This window comes from Homo sapiens, chromosome 15 (genome assembly GCF_000001405.40).
Source record: "Homo sapiens chromosome 15, GRCh38.p14 Primary Assembly".
NCBI lineage: Eukaryota > Metazoa > Chordata > Mammalia > Primates > Hominidae > Homo > Homo sapiens.
The window spans coordinates 45,545,283-45,564,511 of NC_000015.10; the positions used below are offsets into that span (position 1 = coordinate 45,545,283).

At 42.6% G+C, this 19,229-nt stretch overlaps 1 pseudogene across 1 annotated transcript in view, besides 4 other annotated features; it reads left to right on the forward strand.

The window, feature by feature from the left end:
* Window positions 1-11,448, forward strand: part of HMGN2P46 (high mobility group nucleosomal binding domain 2 pseudogene 46) — a 45,595-nt pseudogene extending 34,147 nt beyond the window's left edge. The window contains exons 5-6 of the transcript NR_022014.1: window positions 1,798-1,885; window positions 10,191-11,448. The product of NR_022014.1 is annotated as a high mobility group nucleosomal binding domain 2 pseudogene 46 (transcript). The remainder of the gene's footprint in view (window positions 1-1,797; window positions 1,886-10,190) is intronic.
* Window positions 1,567-2,068: an enhancer, noted in NCBI's record as "H3K4me1 hESC enhancer chr15:45839047-45839548 (GRCh37/hg19 assembly coordinates)". NCBI's record gives its function as "activates a minimal SCP1, AML or CMV promoter by ChIP-STARR-seq in naive H9 embryonic stem cells {active_cell/tissue: H9 hESC(naive)}" and the evidence as "EXISTENCE:reporter gene assay evidence [ECO:0000049][PMID:30033119]".
* Window positions 2,069-2,568: an enhancer, noted in NCBI's record as "H3K4me1 hESC enhancer chr15:45839549-45840048 (GRCh37/hg19 assembly coordinates)". NCBI's record gives its function as "activates a minimal SCP1, AML or CMV promoter by ChIP-STARR-seq in naive H9 embryonic stem cells {active_cell/tissue: H9 hESC(naive)}" and the evidence as "EXISTENCE:reporter gene assay evidence [ECO:0000049][PMID:30033119]".
* Window positions 3,173-4,372: an enhancer, noted in NCBI's record as "BRD4-independent group 4 enhancer chr15:45840653-45841852 (GRCh37/hg19 assembly coordinates)". NCBI's record gives its function as "activates an origin of replication core promoter dependent on BRD2, P300/CBP, MED14 and CDK7 cofactors, and independent of BRD4, by STARR-seq in HCT116 cells {active_cell/tissue: HCT116}" and the evidence as "EXISTENCE:reporter gene assay evidence [ECO:0000049][PMID:35650434]".
* Window positions 3,548-3,856: a silencer, noted in NCBI's record as "fragment chr15:45841028-45841336 (GRCh37/hg19 assembly coordinates)". NCBI's record gives its function as "represses an EF-1alpha promoter that drives an FKBP-Casp9 reporter gene in an ReSE screen in K562 erythroleukemia cells {active_cell/tissue: K562}" and the evidence as "EXISTENCE:reporter gene assay evidence [ECO:0000049][PMID:32094911]".
* Window positions 11,449-19,229: the final 7,781 nt, after the last annotated feature.

Sequence of the window (19,229 nt, forward strand, 5' to 3'; positions counted from 1 at the left end):
AGCAGAGACAGGGTTTCACCATGTTGGCCAGGCTGGTCTTGAACTCCTGACCTCAGGTAATTCACCCTCCTCAGCCTCCCAAAGTGCTGGGATTACAGGCGTCAGCCACTGCGCCCAGCCTGAAATTTTTCTTAATATAAATTTTAAAAATCTAAAGAAAGTGACAGTAATTTACAGAAAAAAATAAAACAGTCAGGTGGCCTGATTATTCAAGTTACCTTAACCAGAAATACAACCTAGAAAACTAATTTGATTAAGACTTCTGGGTCCACCTGCAATCCTAGCAAGGGCAGATAGCCGTAGGATCCAAGCACAAAAGATTAATGCACTACTGGTTTAGTCTGTGTGTGCTATAACAGAATACCTTAGACTGGGCAACTTAAAAAGAACAGAAATTTATTTCTCACAGTTTGGGAGGCTGGGAAGTCCGTGATCAAGGTGCTGGCAGGTTTGGTTGTCTGGTGAGGGCCTCATCCTCTGGAGGGGAGGTGGAAGGGTAAATTAACCAAATGCTGCCCGAAGCTTCTTTTTTAAGGCACTTAATCCCAAACCTGAGGGAGGAGCTCTTATGGCCTGATTGCCACTTAAAGGCCCCACCTCTTAAAACTATCACATTGCAGCCTGGCCAACATGGTGAAACCCCGTCTCTACTAAAAATACAAAAATTAGCCAGGCAGTAGTGGTGTGCACCTGTAATCCCAGCTACTCAGGAGGCTGAGGCAGTAGAATCACTTGAGCCTGGGGACGAAGGTTGCGGTGAGCCGATATCATGCCACTACACTCCAGTCTGAGCAAAAAAGTGAGGCCCTGTCTCAACAAAACAAAAATCCTATCATTTTGGCAACATCTGAATTTTGGAGGGACCGTATTCAAATGATAGTACCTACTATCTGTATAAAATGACGTAACTACCTGTTTTTGTTCTCATGTCTTTCTCCAGAAAAAACTGATTTGATCTCTGTTTACTAAATTACAACTTCAGTACAATCCTGCCTCCCCCAAAATACTCACAGAGCATCTTTGAGGGGCCCAATCTCTTTGATTGCTCATTTACAGCCTCCTAGTTTACTCCAACAGATAACTGATTCCCTCCTTTGCATTGAATTCTTGCTAAAATAACCTTCAGAGAGTGGCTTATTCTCTCATCTGCAAATGGTTTTTTTTGTTTTGTTTTGTTTTTTGTTTTTTTTTTTTGAGACAGAGTCTCGCTCTGTCGCCTAGGCTGGAGTGCGGTAGTGCGATCTTGGCTCACTGCATCCTCCCTACCTCAGGTTTAAGTGATTCTCATTCTCATCTGCAAATCTTGAGGAGTGCCTCACAATTGTTCCCTCCTCATACCAACCATATCTCACATAGTGCTGTCCATTATCTAGCACATAGCACAATTAAAACCTAATCTGCTCTAATCCCAGTACTTTGGGAGGCTGAGGCAGGTGGATCACCTGAGGTCAAGAGTTCGAGACCAGCCTGGTCAACATGGTGAAACCCCATCTCTATTAAAAACACAAAAAATTAGCCAGGCGTTGTGGTGGGCACCTATAATCCCAGATATTTGGGAGGCTGAGGCAGAAGAATCGCTTGAACCCATGGGGTGGAGGTTTCAGTGAGCAGGGATAGCGCCACTGCACTCCAGCCTGGCGGCAGAGTGAAACTCCATCAAAAAAAAAAAAAAAACAAACAAAACCTAATCTGATCAAGTCCACCATGAACAAGCCTGTGGTCTGACAAGGGAGTGTACTTCAGAATTGTGAAATGCTGCCCTCAACAAGGTGTTAACGGGTGGGTCTTTGTTCTTAGAGCTCCCAAGATGGTGGCAAGCCTTTTGTTCTCTGACCAGAGGTTCCTGGCCTCACGGATTCCAAGGAATGGAACCTTGGGCCATGCGGTGAGTGTTACAGCTCTATTAGAAGCCGTGGGTCACAGAAGAGAACCGTGGAACCCAGTGACTAGTGTTAAGCTCAGTTAGGACAAACCTGGGCACTAAGCTGTGCAGGAACAATGGTGAGCCTCTAGCCCCAACGGGAGCAGCAATGCGTGCCTCGCTGGATCAGAAACGCAGAGGACACCCTGCCGGATCTGGAGGGGGGGAAGTCAATGGCAGGTCTGCGATGGCAGCGAACAGCAGTGGTGGATGGTGAGCGAAAGCTCACCTCGAGCCGGAAGAAACATGGACCAGAAGAGTGTGCAGTTGCAAGATTTAATAGAGTGAAAACTGAGCCCCCATACAAGGGGAGGGGACCCAAAGCAGATTGCCCCTCCCTGCTCGAATGCCTGGGGTTTATATCCCAATCATTGTCCCTCCCCCTGTGCTCTCAGATGATAGATGATTTGACTATTTCTTTACCTCCTGCTTTTAGCCTAATTGGTATTTTAGTAAGCCCTCTTTACTACCTGATTGGTCAGGTGTAAGCTGAGTTTCAAGCCTCGTGTTTAAAGGTGGGTTCAGTCATCTTCCCCAGCTAGGCTTAGGAATTCTTAGTTGGCCTAGGAAATCCAGCTAGTACTGTCTCTCAAAGGGAACTCTAGCAGCTGCATTCTCATGGAAATGTTTAGATTAATTAGAGGACAAACTTTTTTTTTTTTTTTTTGAGACAGAGTCTCTGTCTGTCACCCAGGCTGGAGCACAGTGGTGCAATCTTGGCTCACTGCAACCACTGCCTCCCAGGTTCAAGGAATTCTTGTGCCTCAGCCTCCCGAGTAGTTGGGATTACAGGCTTTCACCATCATGCCCTGCTAATTTTTTTTTTTGTTGTTGTATTTTTAGTAGAGTCGGGGTTTCACCATGTTGGCCAGGCCGGTCTCGAACTCCTAACCTCAAATGACCCTCCCATATCAGCCTCCCAAAGTGTTGGGATTACAGGTGTGAGCGACTGCACCTGGCCTGTGGACAAACTTTCCTTGTGTGTCTACGAATCAGTGAATGAAAGATCATTTTTAGAGAATGAAAACTAACCTCAAGAAAGCAGAGAGAGGGTAGAGACTTCTGGGGTCTGAGCTCTCCCATATGACTTTCATGCCATGGGACTGTAGTAGTCACCCAAGAGAATGACATAGGCCCATCTGTAGCCATCTCTCCCCTTCTGCTCTTCTGTCCCAGGATCTAGTTCTAGGAACAGAAAGGACAGATCTTCAAACACCTAGACATCTGATGCCTACACTCATAGGCTTCTCCCATCACATTCCCTGTCCCTATATCAGGTACGTCAGTCCTGCTCCAAGCCAAAGGAGTGGTGCCTCAATTGCTACCACCAATGGCAAAAGGCATCTATTTCTGCTGCTTCCAGCTTCTGCTTTTGCTTTAGAAACTGTCATTCTTGGGATACATGAGAGACAGACACTGCTAACCTAACTGCTGGTTCATCTTCCACTCCTGGCACTTCCATTCCATCAGATATCTTAGGGGCTGAAACTGACATAGGAGTTAAGAAGGGATTACTTAGGCAGATAGTAAGGGCATGGGAGTCCTCCTAAGGCTTTTCTTTTTAATGAAAAGCAGCCCCAAATCATTTTCTAACAAAGAGCAGCCTGCAAACTGGGAGCTTGCACGGGTGCATGCTAGCAGGAACTAAGGACTAGGCATTTTCAAAACAGAGGCTCCATCTTCCCTTCTCTGCCAGCCACGTGTATTGTAAGGAGCAGACAAGATGGCGCAGGTCAACTGGGAAGTCCATTTGCATGAGAAGATTAGGGTGGGGAGACCAGCCTTCCTGGCGCACCACGTAAACGTCATAACTGATCCAACCAGTCTGTGAGCCCTATGTAAATCAGATACCGCCTCTTCAAACTGAATTATAAAACTTGGTGCATTCACCACCAGCTGTTCCTTTTTGCTCGGAGATCCCTCTCTGTGTAGAGGAAGCTGTTTCTCTTTCTCTTCTCTTCTGCCTTTTAAACCTCCGCTCCTAAACTTCTCATGTGTGTACGTGTCCTAAATCTTCCTGGCACGTGACGACGAACCCCAGGTTTATACTGCAGACGACACAGCCCCTTCAAAACCTGAGGAAATAGCAGGACCGTATGAGGATTCTCGACCTTGTGGCCCAACCTCTCTGCCCGTTTGCCCAACACCAGCCTCCTGGAATAACAGAGGTGGCTAAAGCAAAATCTTCTTTGTGTTTACAAATTGTTTTCAAAACCATGGTTTAATCTCATCCTCCTTCAGATCTGTGAGATAGCTATTATTTCTATTTAAAGAGACAAGACACTAGGGCACAGAGAAGTTAAGTAATTTGTTCACAGTCACAGAGTTAATTGAAAGCAGAGCCATGATGTGAACTGAGATATTCCATCTCCTGGAGGAATTCATCTGTATCTAAATCCAAATTATTACTGAGCTTTGAGCTACGATATCTCTTTCTTTCTTTTTTTCTTTTTTGAGACAGAGTCTTACTCTGTCACCCAGCCTGGAGTGCAGTGGCGTGATCTCGGCTAACTGTCGCCTTGACCTCCCTGGGCTCAGCTGAGCCTCCCGAGTAGCTGGGACCATAGGCATATGCCACCACGCCCAGCTAATTTTTGTACTTTTTGTAGAGACAGGATTTTGCCATGTTCCCCAGGCTGGTCTCAAATTCTTGGGCTCAAGGGATCCGCCCGCCTCAGCCTCCCAAAGTGCTGGAATTACAGGCATGAGCCACTGTGCCCAGCCTATGATATTTCTGTAAGAAAAATATTGGTTATAGCCACCAAGTTATGTTACCACAAAAAATGACTCATTATTAGCTTCAGGCTGAGACTGTTCATAGCCAAAAGCCATATTTCATTCTGTGTTGAACTCATTAAACCATTCCTAATTTTTTATTGTGATGAGTCAATAGATAATATTTACAGTTAATAAATCAAGAAAAACAAATATATTACATATACCGATTCAATGGTAATCAACAATATAACTTAAAAACAAACTATTAATAAATCTTCTGGGTAATGGGTGTGGAGAGTGGGTGTTGTGGAGACGGGTGGCAAGAGACTTTTGTTTTTCATTTAAGACAACTCGGTACAGTCTAAATTTTTCAAACATGTGCAAATGTTACTTCTATAAATTAAAAACAAATTTATTTTATTTTTTGAGACAGAATCTTGCTCTGTCTCCCAGGCTGGAGTGCAGTGGCGCAATCTCGGCTCACTGCAACCTCTGCCTCCTGGGCTCAAGCAATTCTCCTGCTTCAGCTTCCCAAGTAGCTGGGTTCACAGGCATGTGCCACCACGGCCAGCTAATTTTTGTATTTGTAGTAGAGAGATGGGGTTTCACCATGTTGGCCAAGCTGGTCTCGAACTCCTGACCCTGTGATCTGCCTGCCTCAGCCACCCAAAGTGCTGGGATTACAGGCGTGAGCCACTGTGCTGGGCCTAAAAAAATTTTTTTAAATAGAAAAATAAAATGAAGTAAAAAATATTTTTTCAATGAGTGATTGCTTAGTCATATGTAATGCTATGTAGCCAATAGAAAAAAATGAGATACCTCTATACAAATTTTAAGTAAGAAAAACACATTGCAGAATGATACTTGAATAATACTATTTATTTCAAATTTGTGTGTGTGTGTGTGTGTGTGTAGATAAACTCGCACACCAAACTGGAAGGATATATACCAAAGTCTAGGAATAAAGAGTAGGGAGGAGAGACTTTATTTACTTTCTTTTTTTTTTTTTTTTTTTTTTTTTTTTGAGATGGAGTCTCGCTTTGTTGCCCAGGCTGGAGTGCAGTGGCACCATCTCGGCTCACTGCAACCTCCACCTCCTGAGTTCAAGTGATTCTTGTGCCTCAGCCTCCCAAGTAGCTGAGACTACGGGTGTGTGCCACCACACCCAGGTAATTTTTGTATTTTTAGTAGAGATGGGGTTTCACCATATTTACCAGGCAGGTCTCGAAATCCTGACCTCATGATCCTCCTGCCTCGGCCTCCCAAAGTGCTGGGATTACACACGTGAGCCACTGTGCCGGGCCCATTACTTTCTGTCACATGCGTCCGTGTGAAGAGACCATCAAACAGGCTTTGTGTGAGCAATAAAGCTTTTTAAGCACCTGGGTGCAGGTGGGCTGAGTCCGAAAAGAGAGTCAGCAAAGGGAGATAGGGGTGGGGCCGTTTTATAGGATTTGGGTAGGTAGTGGAAAATTACAGTCAAAGGGGGTTGTTCTCTGGTGGGCAGGGGCGGGGGGTCACAAGGTGTTCAGTGTGGGAGCTTCTGAGCCAGGAGAAGGAATTTCTCAAGGTAACGTCATCAGTTAAGGCAGGGACCAGCCATTTTCACTTCTTTTGTGATTCTTCACTTGCTTCAGGCCATCTGGATGTATACATGCAGGCTTGAGCTCAGAGGCCTGACACTTTCTATACTTCTATATATTGTTTGATTTTTTTCAAGAAGCATGTGCATTGAATATGAATGTATATGGATGATTCTGCAGGTTCAAAGCTAAAGTGATTCTGAGTGTTTTCCTTTTCATGCCATGAAAGAGCCCAAATGTGGTTGTATCGTGTTATGTATGAGAGTCAGGATCTTACACTGATTTGTAGTGAGGAAATTCACTGGTTCTGTGCTCCATGGTATTGTTGCAGAAGGGAAGTTTATGAATCAAATCACTCCACTCTTGTGCCTTAACGTCACCACAGAGCTGACCAAAAGTCTGACTCGTGTTTCTTTTTATATTGTTAGATTTCCTTTCTCTGCTTGGTTTTGAGCATTTGTCACCAGAATGCATGGGATTTAAATCCCCAAATCTAGAATTAATATTTGATGACTGTAACAAGGTATCTGAACCACACTTTGGAATTCTGGACTTTGGGTCTTGATTTACCCTGGTACTTACTATAACCTTTTTGAGACCTTGGCAATGAAATTATTGACTTTGAGCCTTGGCATCTTCATCTGTATCATGAAGATGTTAATAATATTAATCCCACAGTATTATTGCCAAGATCAAATGGGATAACCTACATGAAAGCCTTTGAAAATTATAAGCAATATACAAATAAATATAACATTATTATTTTATTAGTCCTAATAACAAAAAGATACTTAATGCTCACTGACTACAGGGTTAGAGAATGAAGACTCCCTGCCTTACTTCTCTTTTCCATCCCATGCAAAATGTTCCCCCCAACACCACCCCGCAAAAAAAGATTTGCTTGGCAGTACAATTTTGATTGTTTAGTGTTTCCATAGTGGTGTACCAGGAATCATAGGCAAGACAAGGAACTTGTAGCAAAATATTTCCTTTTTCTGTCCCCAGCCCAGATTTGTCCCCAGCAATACCAGATTATTTATACCTTTTCTTTCCTTTATACTTGGCTCTTATGACAGCCAGGGCACATGGCCTGTACAGTGTTTTATTAAAGGATCTTCCAGTAGGATTGTAATGGTTTTAAAAGATGATCACAAATTCTTTGACATTTCTCCATTGAGTGTGGGATCTATATTCCCTTCCTTTGAATCTGGGTGGATTCATGACTGCTTTGACTAATAGAGAATGGCAGAAGTGTTGCTATGTGAATTTCAAGCCTAAGTTACAGAAGACCATGCAGCCTCTGCCTTGTTAACTAGGACATTTGTTGATAGATTCTTGTCATCATAAAAAGTCCAGCTACCCTGAGCCACTGTGCTAGAGAGGCAATGTGTAGATGCTGTGGTCAGTAATCCCTGTTTAGCCTGGTCTTCTAGCCAAGATATCAGAAATACGAGGGAAACCAGCTTGGACCCGCCACACCACTCTACGTGCCAGATCAATGCCAAGTGTCCTCCACCAATGCCTCATGGAACAGAATTCTCCAACTGAGTTCTGCTTAAATTCATGACCTACAAAATTGTTTTGGGGTAGCTTGTTATGTAATACTTGGTAACCAGAACAGGAACGATAATCCCATTTCAGTTCAACTTTTGGCCAGATTAAGCACAATTATGGGGGTCAATTTATCTTTCTTTTTTCTCTCTTTGCAGTGAATTTTTTTTTTTTTTGAGGCAGGGTCTTGCTTTGTTGACCAGGCTGGAGTACAGTGTGCCCATCTTGGCTCACTGCAGCCTCAACTTCTTGGGATCAAGCAATCCTCCCACCTCAGCCTCCCAAGTAGCTGGGACTATAGGTGCATGTCACTATGCTTGGCTAATTTTTGGTTTATTTTTTGTAGAGATGGCATCTCACTCTGTTGCCCAGGCTGGTCTCAAACTCCTGGGCTCAAGTGATCCTCCCATTATGGCCTCCCAAAGTGCTGGGATTATAGGTGTGAGCCACGATGCCTGGCCTTCCTACAGCACTCAGTATTCCAAGAGATCTCCCATCCAAGCACTAACCAGGCCCAACTCTGCTTAGTTTCTAAGATCAGATAAGTTCTTTAAAAAAAAATAAAAGCGGTTACTGACTTTTCTTGATAGCTGGGTATTTTGATAAAGACTTCCAAAGAGATATCCTAAGCTTGAACTCTTCCCCCAAATAGGGACCACCAGAGCTTCTTTGCTGTCATCTTGCTTGAGAAACTTCCTTGCACTGGGGCTACTGAGTCAACAACATTCTTCATAAAAATAATTTTCCTTTGGGAGGCTGAGGCTGGTGGATCACTTGAGGTCAGGAGTTTGAGACCAGCCTGGCCAACATGGTGAAACCCTGTCTCTATAAAAAAATACAAAAATTAGCCAGGTGTAGAGACAGGTGCCTGTAATCCCAGCTACTCAGGAGATTGAACCTGGGAGGCGGAGGTTGCAGTGAGCCAAGATTGTGCCATTGCACTCCAGCCTGGGTGACAGAGCAAGCCTCCATCTCAAAAAAAAAGAAAGAATTTTGTAAGAATATTCATAGGTACTCACCGTTTCTCTTAGGTAAAGAGCTAAGAGTGGAATTCCTGGGTTATGGGATAGATATATGTTTAACTTGGTAGGAAATTGCTAATTTTTCAAAGTGTTTATATCATTTTACACCTCCATTAGGAAAGTATGAGTGATCATTTCTCATCTCACCAACATTTGGTATTGTCAGGTGGGTTTTTTTTTTTCATTTAATTTTGGTGAATTCTAATTTATCTGTTTTTTGTTGTTGTTGTTGCTGTTGTTGCTGCTGCTGGTGTTTTTGATATTGTATCTTAGAAATTGTTGGCTAATCCAAAGTCACGAAGATTTACACCTGTGTTTTCTCCTAAGCGTTTTATAGCTTTATCTCTTACATTTAGGTGTATGACCCCTTTGAGTTAACTTTTGTACATGATGTGAAGAAATGGTCCAAACTGATTCTTTTGCATGTGGATATCCAGATGTCCCAGCACCATTTGTTGTAAAGACTGTTCCTTCCTTACTGAGTTGCTTTGATCCCTTTGTGGAAAATCAGCTGACCATAAATGTATGGATTTATTTCTGGACTCTCAATTCTACTGATGTATATGCCTATCCTTATGCATAGTTTTAATTGTGGTAATTTGTTGTAGTCTTAATTGTGGCAATTCATCATAGTCTTAATTTGCATTTAATTGTATTTTCCTGATGACTAATAATTGCCCTAGAAAGTTCCTTCTTACCCGTGCCAGTCAATCCCTTTCTGCATCCCCATTCCCCCAGAGCTAGCCATTGTTTTGATTAGTTTCCACTGCAAATGAGTTTTAACCTGTTTTACACCATTATATAAAAGGAATCACACAGTGTACACTTTTTAGTGTGGACTTCTTTCTCTCAGCATGTTTTTGAGATTTATCCATTTATGGTGTATATTATAGTTTGTTGCTTTCAGAAGAAATTTTTACCACAAAGATTTTCAAATTTTTCTCAACTTATTTCTTTTTATTTAATTTGTATATGAAAAATTTTAGCCTGTTTTTTACATTTCTCATCTAATTGCAGGTTATTTTCAACTTACAATTATAGGTTTGCCAAGTTTTGGATCTCTAATGTTTTGCTTATTTCTGGTTTTTGTCAAGCCCATGCACTTGACTTCTGCTAGTCCCTTGAAGGCTGTACCAGAGTCAAGGGCCATCTTCTTCCTTTTAAAGCTCACATACATTGCCATCTTTTTATTAGCTGACCTAAGTGTATATTTATCCAAACATCTAATTTATTCCAGCTTTAGATCTTCTTGCATCTGAGTTATTAAAATACACATTTAATTTACAATACCTACTAGTATTTATCAAAAATTTACTGAAATTATTCATGGTATTTGGGGGGAAACACTATCTAAAAAGGACCCATGATTGATTATTTGTTTATTTATTTATTTAGTGCACTTGATTTTGCAGATGAGTCTGGAAGTGTTAGTTGCAAAGATATGCATTTACTTCTCTGGCTACAAAAAAGAATAGAAATGCACAAAGCAGAGCAGTGTGAAGAAGAAGAGGCGATGACCCCTAGACCGACCAAAGCCCGTGCTCCACTGCCCAGTGCCTATGTCCCACCACTGTCGCTGCCACCCTGCCCGAGAGAAAGGCTGAAGGGGATGCTAAAGGAGATAAAACCAAGGTTAAGTAGGAACTGCAGAGAAGATCCACAAGGTTGTCTGCTAAACCTGCTCCTCCAAAGCCACAGCCGAAGCCCAGAAAGGCCTCTGCAAAGAAGAGAGAGAAGGTACCTACAGAGAAGAAGGGAAAAGCTGATGCTGGCAAGGAGGGGAATAACCCTGCAGAAAATGGAGATGCCAAAACAGACTAGGCACAGAAAGCTAAAGGTGCTGGAGATGCCAAGTGAAGTGTGTGCATTTTTGATAACTGTGTACTTCTGGTGACTGTACAGTTTGAAATACTATTTTTTAATCAAGTTTTATAAAAATGCAGATTTTGTTTAGCTTTTTTTTTTTTTTTTAAGCTATGTTAGTACACAGAATACTTCATTGTTGTTTTGGGGAGAAGGGCCATATGTCACTAATAGAAAGCCCCTGAAGCTGGACTGATGTGGGGAAAACACCTTTTCCTTCTGGTTTTGAGAGACTTCCTCTTGGGTCCCAGGAAGAGGGATTCCCTGACTTTGATACACATGGCCACCTTGGTATAAAAGCCTTGTGGTATGGAAAAACAAATTCGTTTTTTATGTCCTCTTCTCTGTTTCTACCTTTCAGAATGGACTTAAATCCCTTAAACCCAGACATCTTCTGGGACCTGACCCCCAATAATTGGTTACCAGTGTGTCAGGCAATCTGGACTTTGCCCTCAAAAGAGCAGTGGTTCCTGTTTCTAGGTTGTGGATCTTCAGATAAATTCTGTCATTTTCCTTTCACTTCCTGAAAGCCAGGGTCGGTTCATGAAAAGCTATGAAACAGCATGCTAAATGTGAAATGTCAACCCTCACTAAACTTTGCCGGTTCAGAGCATCAGATGAAGACTTCATTGGGTTTTACAGTGGCTTTCTGATTTTTGGTAGTCCATTGAAGAAGGGAGTTTGAAAGTTGTTGTATACTGTTAACGATTGTCTGCCCATGTCCTGCCCAAAATACCATGATTCTTTATGGAAATTATCTTTAATAAAGCTGGATACAGTTTGGCTTGGGAAAAAAAAAAGAAATGCACAAAGAAGGCAAAGTGAGCTTGTGCTGTCTGAAGAATAACTTTCAAGCAGTCTGCAGATAGATCCCATTTGAAAGTCAATCCTCCTTTCCCTCACTCCTGCACTGCCAACAACTGAAGTTGCTGAAGAAGAGTGAGTCTGTGGGATAGCCAGTCTCCTCACCTTTTCCACCTTCATTCTTGAATTCTTGGTCTCCTCTGGCTCCTGTCTTTTTTGCCCTTCTTTCCCCCGCCCCCCCAAATAATACCTGCCTTGGGCAAAATTATCGAATCAACTCCCCTACCAGCACTCCTTTTGCTGCCTGATTCTCTTCCTTTATTCCTCCGTGCAAGCCTCCTTATGCTGAACCTCCAACCCTCAGGGTTCAACCAGACAAACAAAACCAGCCAGAAGTATACATTAAGAGAGTTTTTGCACAGAATTGGCTTATGTGATGGTGGCAGCTGGCAAGACACCCTAGAAGAGCAGGCCTGGTCTCTTAGACACCAGCTGAAGCTGTTAACTACAGATAAATTTCTTCTTCTGCAGAGAAGCCTTAGTTCTGCAATTAAAAACTTTCAACTGATTGAATCAGGCCCACTCAGATTATTTAGAATAATCTCTCTTATATAAAGTCAACTGATTATGGATTTAATTCACATCAACAAATTACCTTCATTGAAACACCTTAATTAGTGTTTGATTGAATAACAGGGGACTGTAGTCTAGATAAATTGACACATAAAGCTGACCATCACACTGTATTTCCTACAGGAGTTGGCTTTCACATACTGGCTCAACTGGTAACTAAAATGTAGCTGATAGAAGCTGCATGCTCAGGAGTATTTTTGTTTTATGAAGAAATCTTAAAGAAACAATATGAAATAAAAATAGCGAAGGTATGTGTGGGGTGGGGTACCTATTCAAAAGGCAAGAACTGGTCACAGGCATGGTCACCCTTTCTCATTGTCCCCTCCATCTCCTGAAATATCAGCCATTCCGAATCTTTTATTTTATCTCTACATAGTCCTCTACCACCCCCACCAATGTACCCACCCAACAACCCTTCACCAGCACCTCTAGGTTTCCTCCCATGAGAACACCTTGAGATCTACACCTAACATCTACTTTTAGGCTTCCCCCATCTTCTCAGCCCTGTGCATATATTTAGGGACCACATTTATCTCCCATGTTTAATTTGTCTCCTGTGGAAGTCTTTACAAAGATCAAATTATTCATTTATTCATCCATCAAATATATGTCTAGGGCATTGGCAGGTGGTGCAAATAAAATAAACAGATTCACTTCCTCTGTGTCCTGGGCTTGTTTCATTCTGACCCTCTGTGCTAGAAGCCCAGGACACAGAGGAAGAAGCAGTGTGTTCTGATTGAGGGACTTCAGAAAGCTGAGTAGAGTCCATCAGCTGGGACTTGAAGGTTAAGAAGGATTTTGATGGATGGAGAAGAGCATTTCAGGTTAAGTGGACTACATGAACAAATGCAAGGAGTCCTAAAGATGAAGGCATAATTCAGAGCCTGCTTCTGGGTTTGGATGCAGGATGTAGCTGGTTGAAGACTCACATTTTGGGCACCAGGTTTTCACCAGCCTCACTTCATTTAAGTGAGGCTGAAGCCTATTGATAATTAGAAGACACTAAGGCTTAGGATAGATTTAGAAGAAGTGGTTGAAAAGGTAGAATGTCAGAGAATACAATACCCAAAAGTCAAGGGAGGATGCTGTAAATTGTGTTGGTGCCATAGAGAGAGATCTTATGTCTTGTGACTCAGTGCTCAGCTTTCTGTCTTGTTGGGCTGCCCTGTTTGAGTCTTTTGGCTAGAGAGAGCAGGCTTTTAATGGTGTTTTTTCTCCCCCATACACAGTGACACAAGCTTCTCCAGCACATAGTCCACAAAATCTTTTTTCTTTTTCTTTTTTTTTACTTATTTATTTATTTTTTGAGACAGGGTCTCGCGCTGTTGCCCATGCTAGAGTGCAGCGTTGCAATCATAGCTCACTGCAGACTTGAACTCATGGATTCAAGCAATTTTCCTGCCTCAGCCTCCCAAACAGCTGGGACTACAGGTGTGTGCCACCATGCCTGGCCAATTTTTAAATGTTTGGTAGAGACACGAATCTTGCTATGTTGCCCAGGCTCAGGATATCTTTTTAAAGTTTTTTCCTTTTATCTTTTTTTGCAGGGGGAAGGCAGAGTCTCATTCTGTCACCCAGGTTAGAGTGCAGTGGTGGGATCACAGCTCACTGCAGCCTTGACCTCCTGGGCTCAAGTGATCTTCCCACCTCAGCCTCCTGAGTAGCTGGGACTACAGGTGAATGCCACCGTGCCCAGCCACATTTTTTTTTTTTTTAATAAGAGACAAGGACTTGCTATGTTGCCCAGGCTGATCTTGAACTCCTGGGCTCAAGTGGATCCTCCTGCCTCAGCCTCCCAAAGTGCTCGAATTACACATGTGAACTACTGCACCCAGCCTTTAAAGTTTTTAATCAATTTTTTGAGGTATCCTTTACCTGCAATCAAATGTACTCATTTCAAGTGTACAGTGCAATGAATTTTTTTATTTTTATTTTTTTGAGACGGAGTCTTGCACTGTCACCCAGGCTGCAGTGCAGTGGTGCTATCTCGACTCACTGCAAGCTCCGCCTCCCAGGTTCACGCCATTCTCCTGCCTCAGCCTCCCGAGTAGCTGGGACTACTGGCGCCCGCCACCACGCCCGGCTAATGTTTTGTATTTTTAGTACAGACGGGATTTCACCGTGTTAACCAGGATGGTCTTGATCTCCTGACCTTGTGATCCACCCGCCTCAGCCTCCCAAAGTGCTACAGGCATGAGCCACCGCCCCCAACTTTTTTTTTTTTTCTTTTTTTTTTAGAGAGAGTGTCTCACTGTGTCACTCAGGCTGGAGTGCGGGGGCATGATCATAATTCATTGCAGCCTTGAACTCCTGGGCTCAAGTGATCTTCCCACCTCAGCCTCCTGAGTATCTAGGACTATAGGCATGTGCCACCATGCCCGGCTAATTGTTTTTTTTTTGTTGCTTTTGTTTTTGTTTTTGTTTTTTGTAGAGATCAGGGTCTCACTGCATTGCTCAGGCCACTCTTGAATTCCTGGTTGCAAGTGATCCTCCTTCCTCAGCCTCCCATCTGGAACTATAGGTGTAAGCTAGCATGCCCAGCCTTGAACTTTGAAAAATGCATGTAGTTATGTAACTATCATCATAAGATACAGAACTTTTTCATCATCAAAAAGTTTTCTTTTTTTTTTCTTTTCTGAGACAGAGTCTCACTCTGTCCTCCAGGCTGCAGTGCAATGGTGCAATCTTGGCTCACTGCAACCTCCGTCTCCTGGGTTCAAGCGATTCTCCTGCCTCAGCCTCCTGAGTAGCTGGGATTACAGGCACAAACCACTATGCCCAGCTAATTTTTGTATTTTTTAGTAGAGACAGAGTTTCACCATGTTGGCCAGGCTGGTCTGGATCTCCTGACCTCAAATGATCCACCTGCCTTGGCCTCCCAAAGTGCTGGGGTTACAGGCGTGAGCCACCACGCCCAGCCAAAAAGTTTTCTTATTTAAGATGTTAATATTACTCACAGTGAACTACAGATTCAATGTGATCCCTGTCAAAATCCTAACAATGGCTGGGCATGGTGGCTCACCCCTGTGATCCCAACACTTTGGGAGGCTGAAGAAGGAGGATTGCTTGAGGCCAGGAGTTCAATACCAGCCTGGGCAACACAGTGAGAACCCCAGCAGCTCTCAAAAAAAAAAAAAAAAATCTAAAAACATTTCTTGCAGAAATAGGAAAATACATCCTAAGATTCATAAGGAGGCCGGGCGCGGTGGTTCATGCCTGTAATCTCAGCACTTTGGGAGGCCGAGGCGGGCTGATCACCTGAGGTTGGGGGTTCAAAACCAGCCTGACCAATATGGAAGAACCCCGTCTCTACCAAAAATACAAAATTAGCCGGGCGTGGTGGTGCATATCTGTAATCTCAGCTACTCTGGAGGCTGGGGCAGCAGAATCACTTGAACCCAGGAGCCGGAAGTTGCAGTGAGCCGAGATTGTGCCATTGCACTGCAGCCTGGGCAACAAGATGGAAACTTCGTCTCAAAAAAAAAAAAAAAAAGATTCATAAGGAATCTCCAGGGACCCAAATCGCCAAAACAATCTTGAAAAAGAAGAACAAAGTTGGACTTCTTACACTTTCCAGCTTCAAAACTTACTACAAAGCTATAATAATCAAAATACTGTGGTTCTGGCATAAAGAAGGACATATGGATCAGTGGATTCAGAAATAAACCTTCAAAAATATGGTCAAATGATTTTTGACAGGAGTGTCAAGACCATTCAGTAAGGAAAGGATAGTCTTTTTCAACAAATGATGTTGGGAAAATTGGATATTCACATGCAAAAAGAAAAAAAAAAGAATTTGGACCCTTACCTTACACCATATACAAAAAGCAAATCAAAATGGATTACAGACCTACATATAAGAACTAAAACTATAAAACTCAGATGAAAACATAGGGGAAAAGTTTTGTGGCATTATTTTAGCAATGATTTATTAGCTATAACTCCAAAAGGATAGGCAACAAAAGAAAAAAGATAAATTAGATTCCATCAAAATTAAAAACTTGTACATCAAAGGACACTATGAACAGATTATAAAGGCAACCCAGAGAAGGGAGAAAATATGTGCTAGCTAATCATAGCTCTGATAAGTCATTGATATCTAGAATATATAAAGAAGAAATATACTTCAACAACAAAAAACCAAACAACCCAATTTTTAAAGTCAGGCAAAGGACTTGAATAGGCATTTCTTCAAAGGAGATATACAAATGGCCAATAAACACATGAAAAGATGCTTAACATCACTAATTATTAGGGAAATGCAAATCAAAACCACAAGGACGCCCGGCCCAGTGCCATGTGCCTGTAGAGTCTGGGCTAATAGGGAGGCTGAGGCAGGAGGATCCTTTGAGCCCAGGAGTTTGAGGAGTGGGTGATAATTGCACCTGTGAATAGCCACTATATTCCAGCCTGGACAACATTGCAAGATCCTATCTATTTAAAAAATCTGCATACAAGGAGTTACTACTTTCCACTTTACACCCATTAGAATGGCTATTATACACACACACACACACACACACACCTATAAGTGTTGGCAAGATGTGGAAAAATTGGAACCTTTGTGCATTGGTGGGAATGTAAAAACATGCAACTACTCTGGGCATGGTGGTTCATGCCTGTAATCCCAGCATTTTGGGAGGCGGAGGTGGGCTGAACACTTGAAGTTAGGAGTTCGTGACCAGCCTGGCCAACATGGTAAAACCATGTCTGTACTAAAAATACAAAAATTAGCTGAGTGTGGTGGCGCATGCCTCTAGTCCCAGCTACTTGGGAGACTGAAGCAGGAGAATCACTTGAACTCGGGAGTCAAAGGTTGCAGTGAGCCAAGACTGTGCCACTGCACTCCAGCCTGGGCGACAGGGCAAGTCTCCATCTCAAAAAAAACCAAAAAAACCAAAACAACAGTAACAACAACAAAAACCATGCAACTGCTATGGAAGACGGTGTGGTGTTTCTTCAAAAAATTAAACATAAAATTACCATATGATCCAGGCTTTCTACTTCTGATTATAGACCCCCAAAAAAGTGAAAGCAAAAACTTGAACAGATAGTTGTACATCCATATTCATAGCAGCAGCATTCGCAATAATCAAAAGAAAGAAGCAACCCAAGTGCCCATAGGTGGATGAATAAACAAAATGTGTATACATACAGTGGAATATTATTCAGCCTTAAAAAGGAAGAAGATTCTAATGCATGTTACAACATGGATGAAACTTGAAGACATTATGCCAAGTGAAACAAGACAATCACAAAAGGGCTGGGTATGGTGGCTCATGCCTGTAATCCCAGCATTTTAAGAGACCAAGGCAGGAGGATCATGTAAGCCCAGGAGTTTGAGACCAGCCTGGGCAACATAGTGAGACCCACACACAAGAAAATTAGCCAGGCATGGTGGCGTGTACCTGTAATCCCAGCAACTCCAGGAGGCTGAGGTGGGAGGATCACAGAAGCCCAGGAAGTCAGCAGGGCAATGAGCCATAATTGTGCCACAGCACTGCAACCTGGGTGACAGAGCAAGACCCAGTCTCAAAAACAAAAGAAAGAAAGAAAGAAATATGTTTAACTTTTATAACAATATAATGACTAGGAATATTAATTTATTTGTAGCACAGGAAATGTGGAGGAAGGAATAAAGAGAGAAATACTACATTAAGAAAGGGACATTGGCAATCCCATAGTCCCACTAACAAATCTAGACTTAAAATTTGGTTAATATAGAGAATATGGTATAAGCAGGGAGGACTAGCAATTTCTCCTTAAGTTTTTCCTGTGGGTTCATCTTCCCATTCCTTGCCATCTTCCTCCCCTCAAATAAAAGGGAGGAAGGGAGGAAGGAAAAGGGCAAGGAAACGGAAGACGCACCCACAACTCCCGAAACTGGAGAAGGTTTGGGCAAATAGTATTTAAAAGAAAGATAACTCAGTTGGGTGCAGTGGCTCATGCCTGTAATCCTAGCACTTTGGGAGGCTAAGGTAGAAGGATCACTTGAAGCCAGGACTTCAAGACCAGCCTAGGCAACAAGGCGAGACCCCCTGTTGTTGTTTTTTTCTACCTTTTTTTTTTTTTTTAAGAAAGAAGACTCTAAACAGTTGAGATACCTAGTTATTTGGAATAATTGTTGGTGGTGACAATCCTGAGTTGTTTCTTATTTCTGACACACCAGAAATGTGAATCCTATTGTAGGCTCAAGTGACTTTGAAGGAGTCCTTGCTGAGGCATATAGGGCCATCCTATTGGGAGAGAACTGGGCTCCAAACAGCCAGGGGCTTCTCCTGATAATGCTAATGGGGCAGGGCATGCTGATTCTCTTTCTTGCTTCTCTCTCATCTCATCTCTCTCTTCTCTTTGTTGCTCAGCAGCTATCTTGCTATCTTGTTCCAACTGTGTCTTTTTTTCTGTCTTACCTTTTCTCTTTCCCAATCTTCCAGCATACTTCTGTCAGTGAAATGAATGTTCATGTTTTTTAATGTAACTTTTAAAAGCAAACACCCACTGATTCTGTAGCAAGACTGCTAGTTGCTTTCCAGCCATCAATACTCCCCATCTTTCCAATGTTTTACCTGTGTTCGTGGCTGTTCAGTGAAAGACTGCATCTCTTAGCCTTTCTTGCAACTAAGACTAGCACGTGACTAAGTTCTGGTCTTTGGGATTTGAGTGGGGGTGATACATGCAGTTCCAGGTCATGGCACAGAGATGTGTCCTCTCTTTCCAACCCTTCTCCAACCTGCTTCCTGACATGGGGATGTGCTGGGGCCCTCTGGGACCATACAGATGAGGCCAGTACCCAAAGGGTGACAGAGCTACAAGCTACCAGGACCCCATGTCCCTGTGTGAACAGATAGACTTCTGCCTTGTTTGAACCATTGTTACCTTGATCTTTGTTACAGCAGCTGAATATATACTCTAATATAAATCCTACCATGGGAAAGAGACTGGATTAGGCAATAAACATCTAAAGATGAGTGAAATCTTGACAGTGCAAATCCTGAAAGAGTTTGAAATTGTCCCAATTGTCTCAGAGAACTAATATTTATGGTTTTTGAACAAATGTAGGAATTGATTCTCCCTGGTCTTAAGACTTGAAACTTACATTTGTCTTACCTCAGTTCCTTCCTCAGGAAACTGACC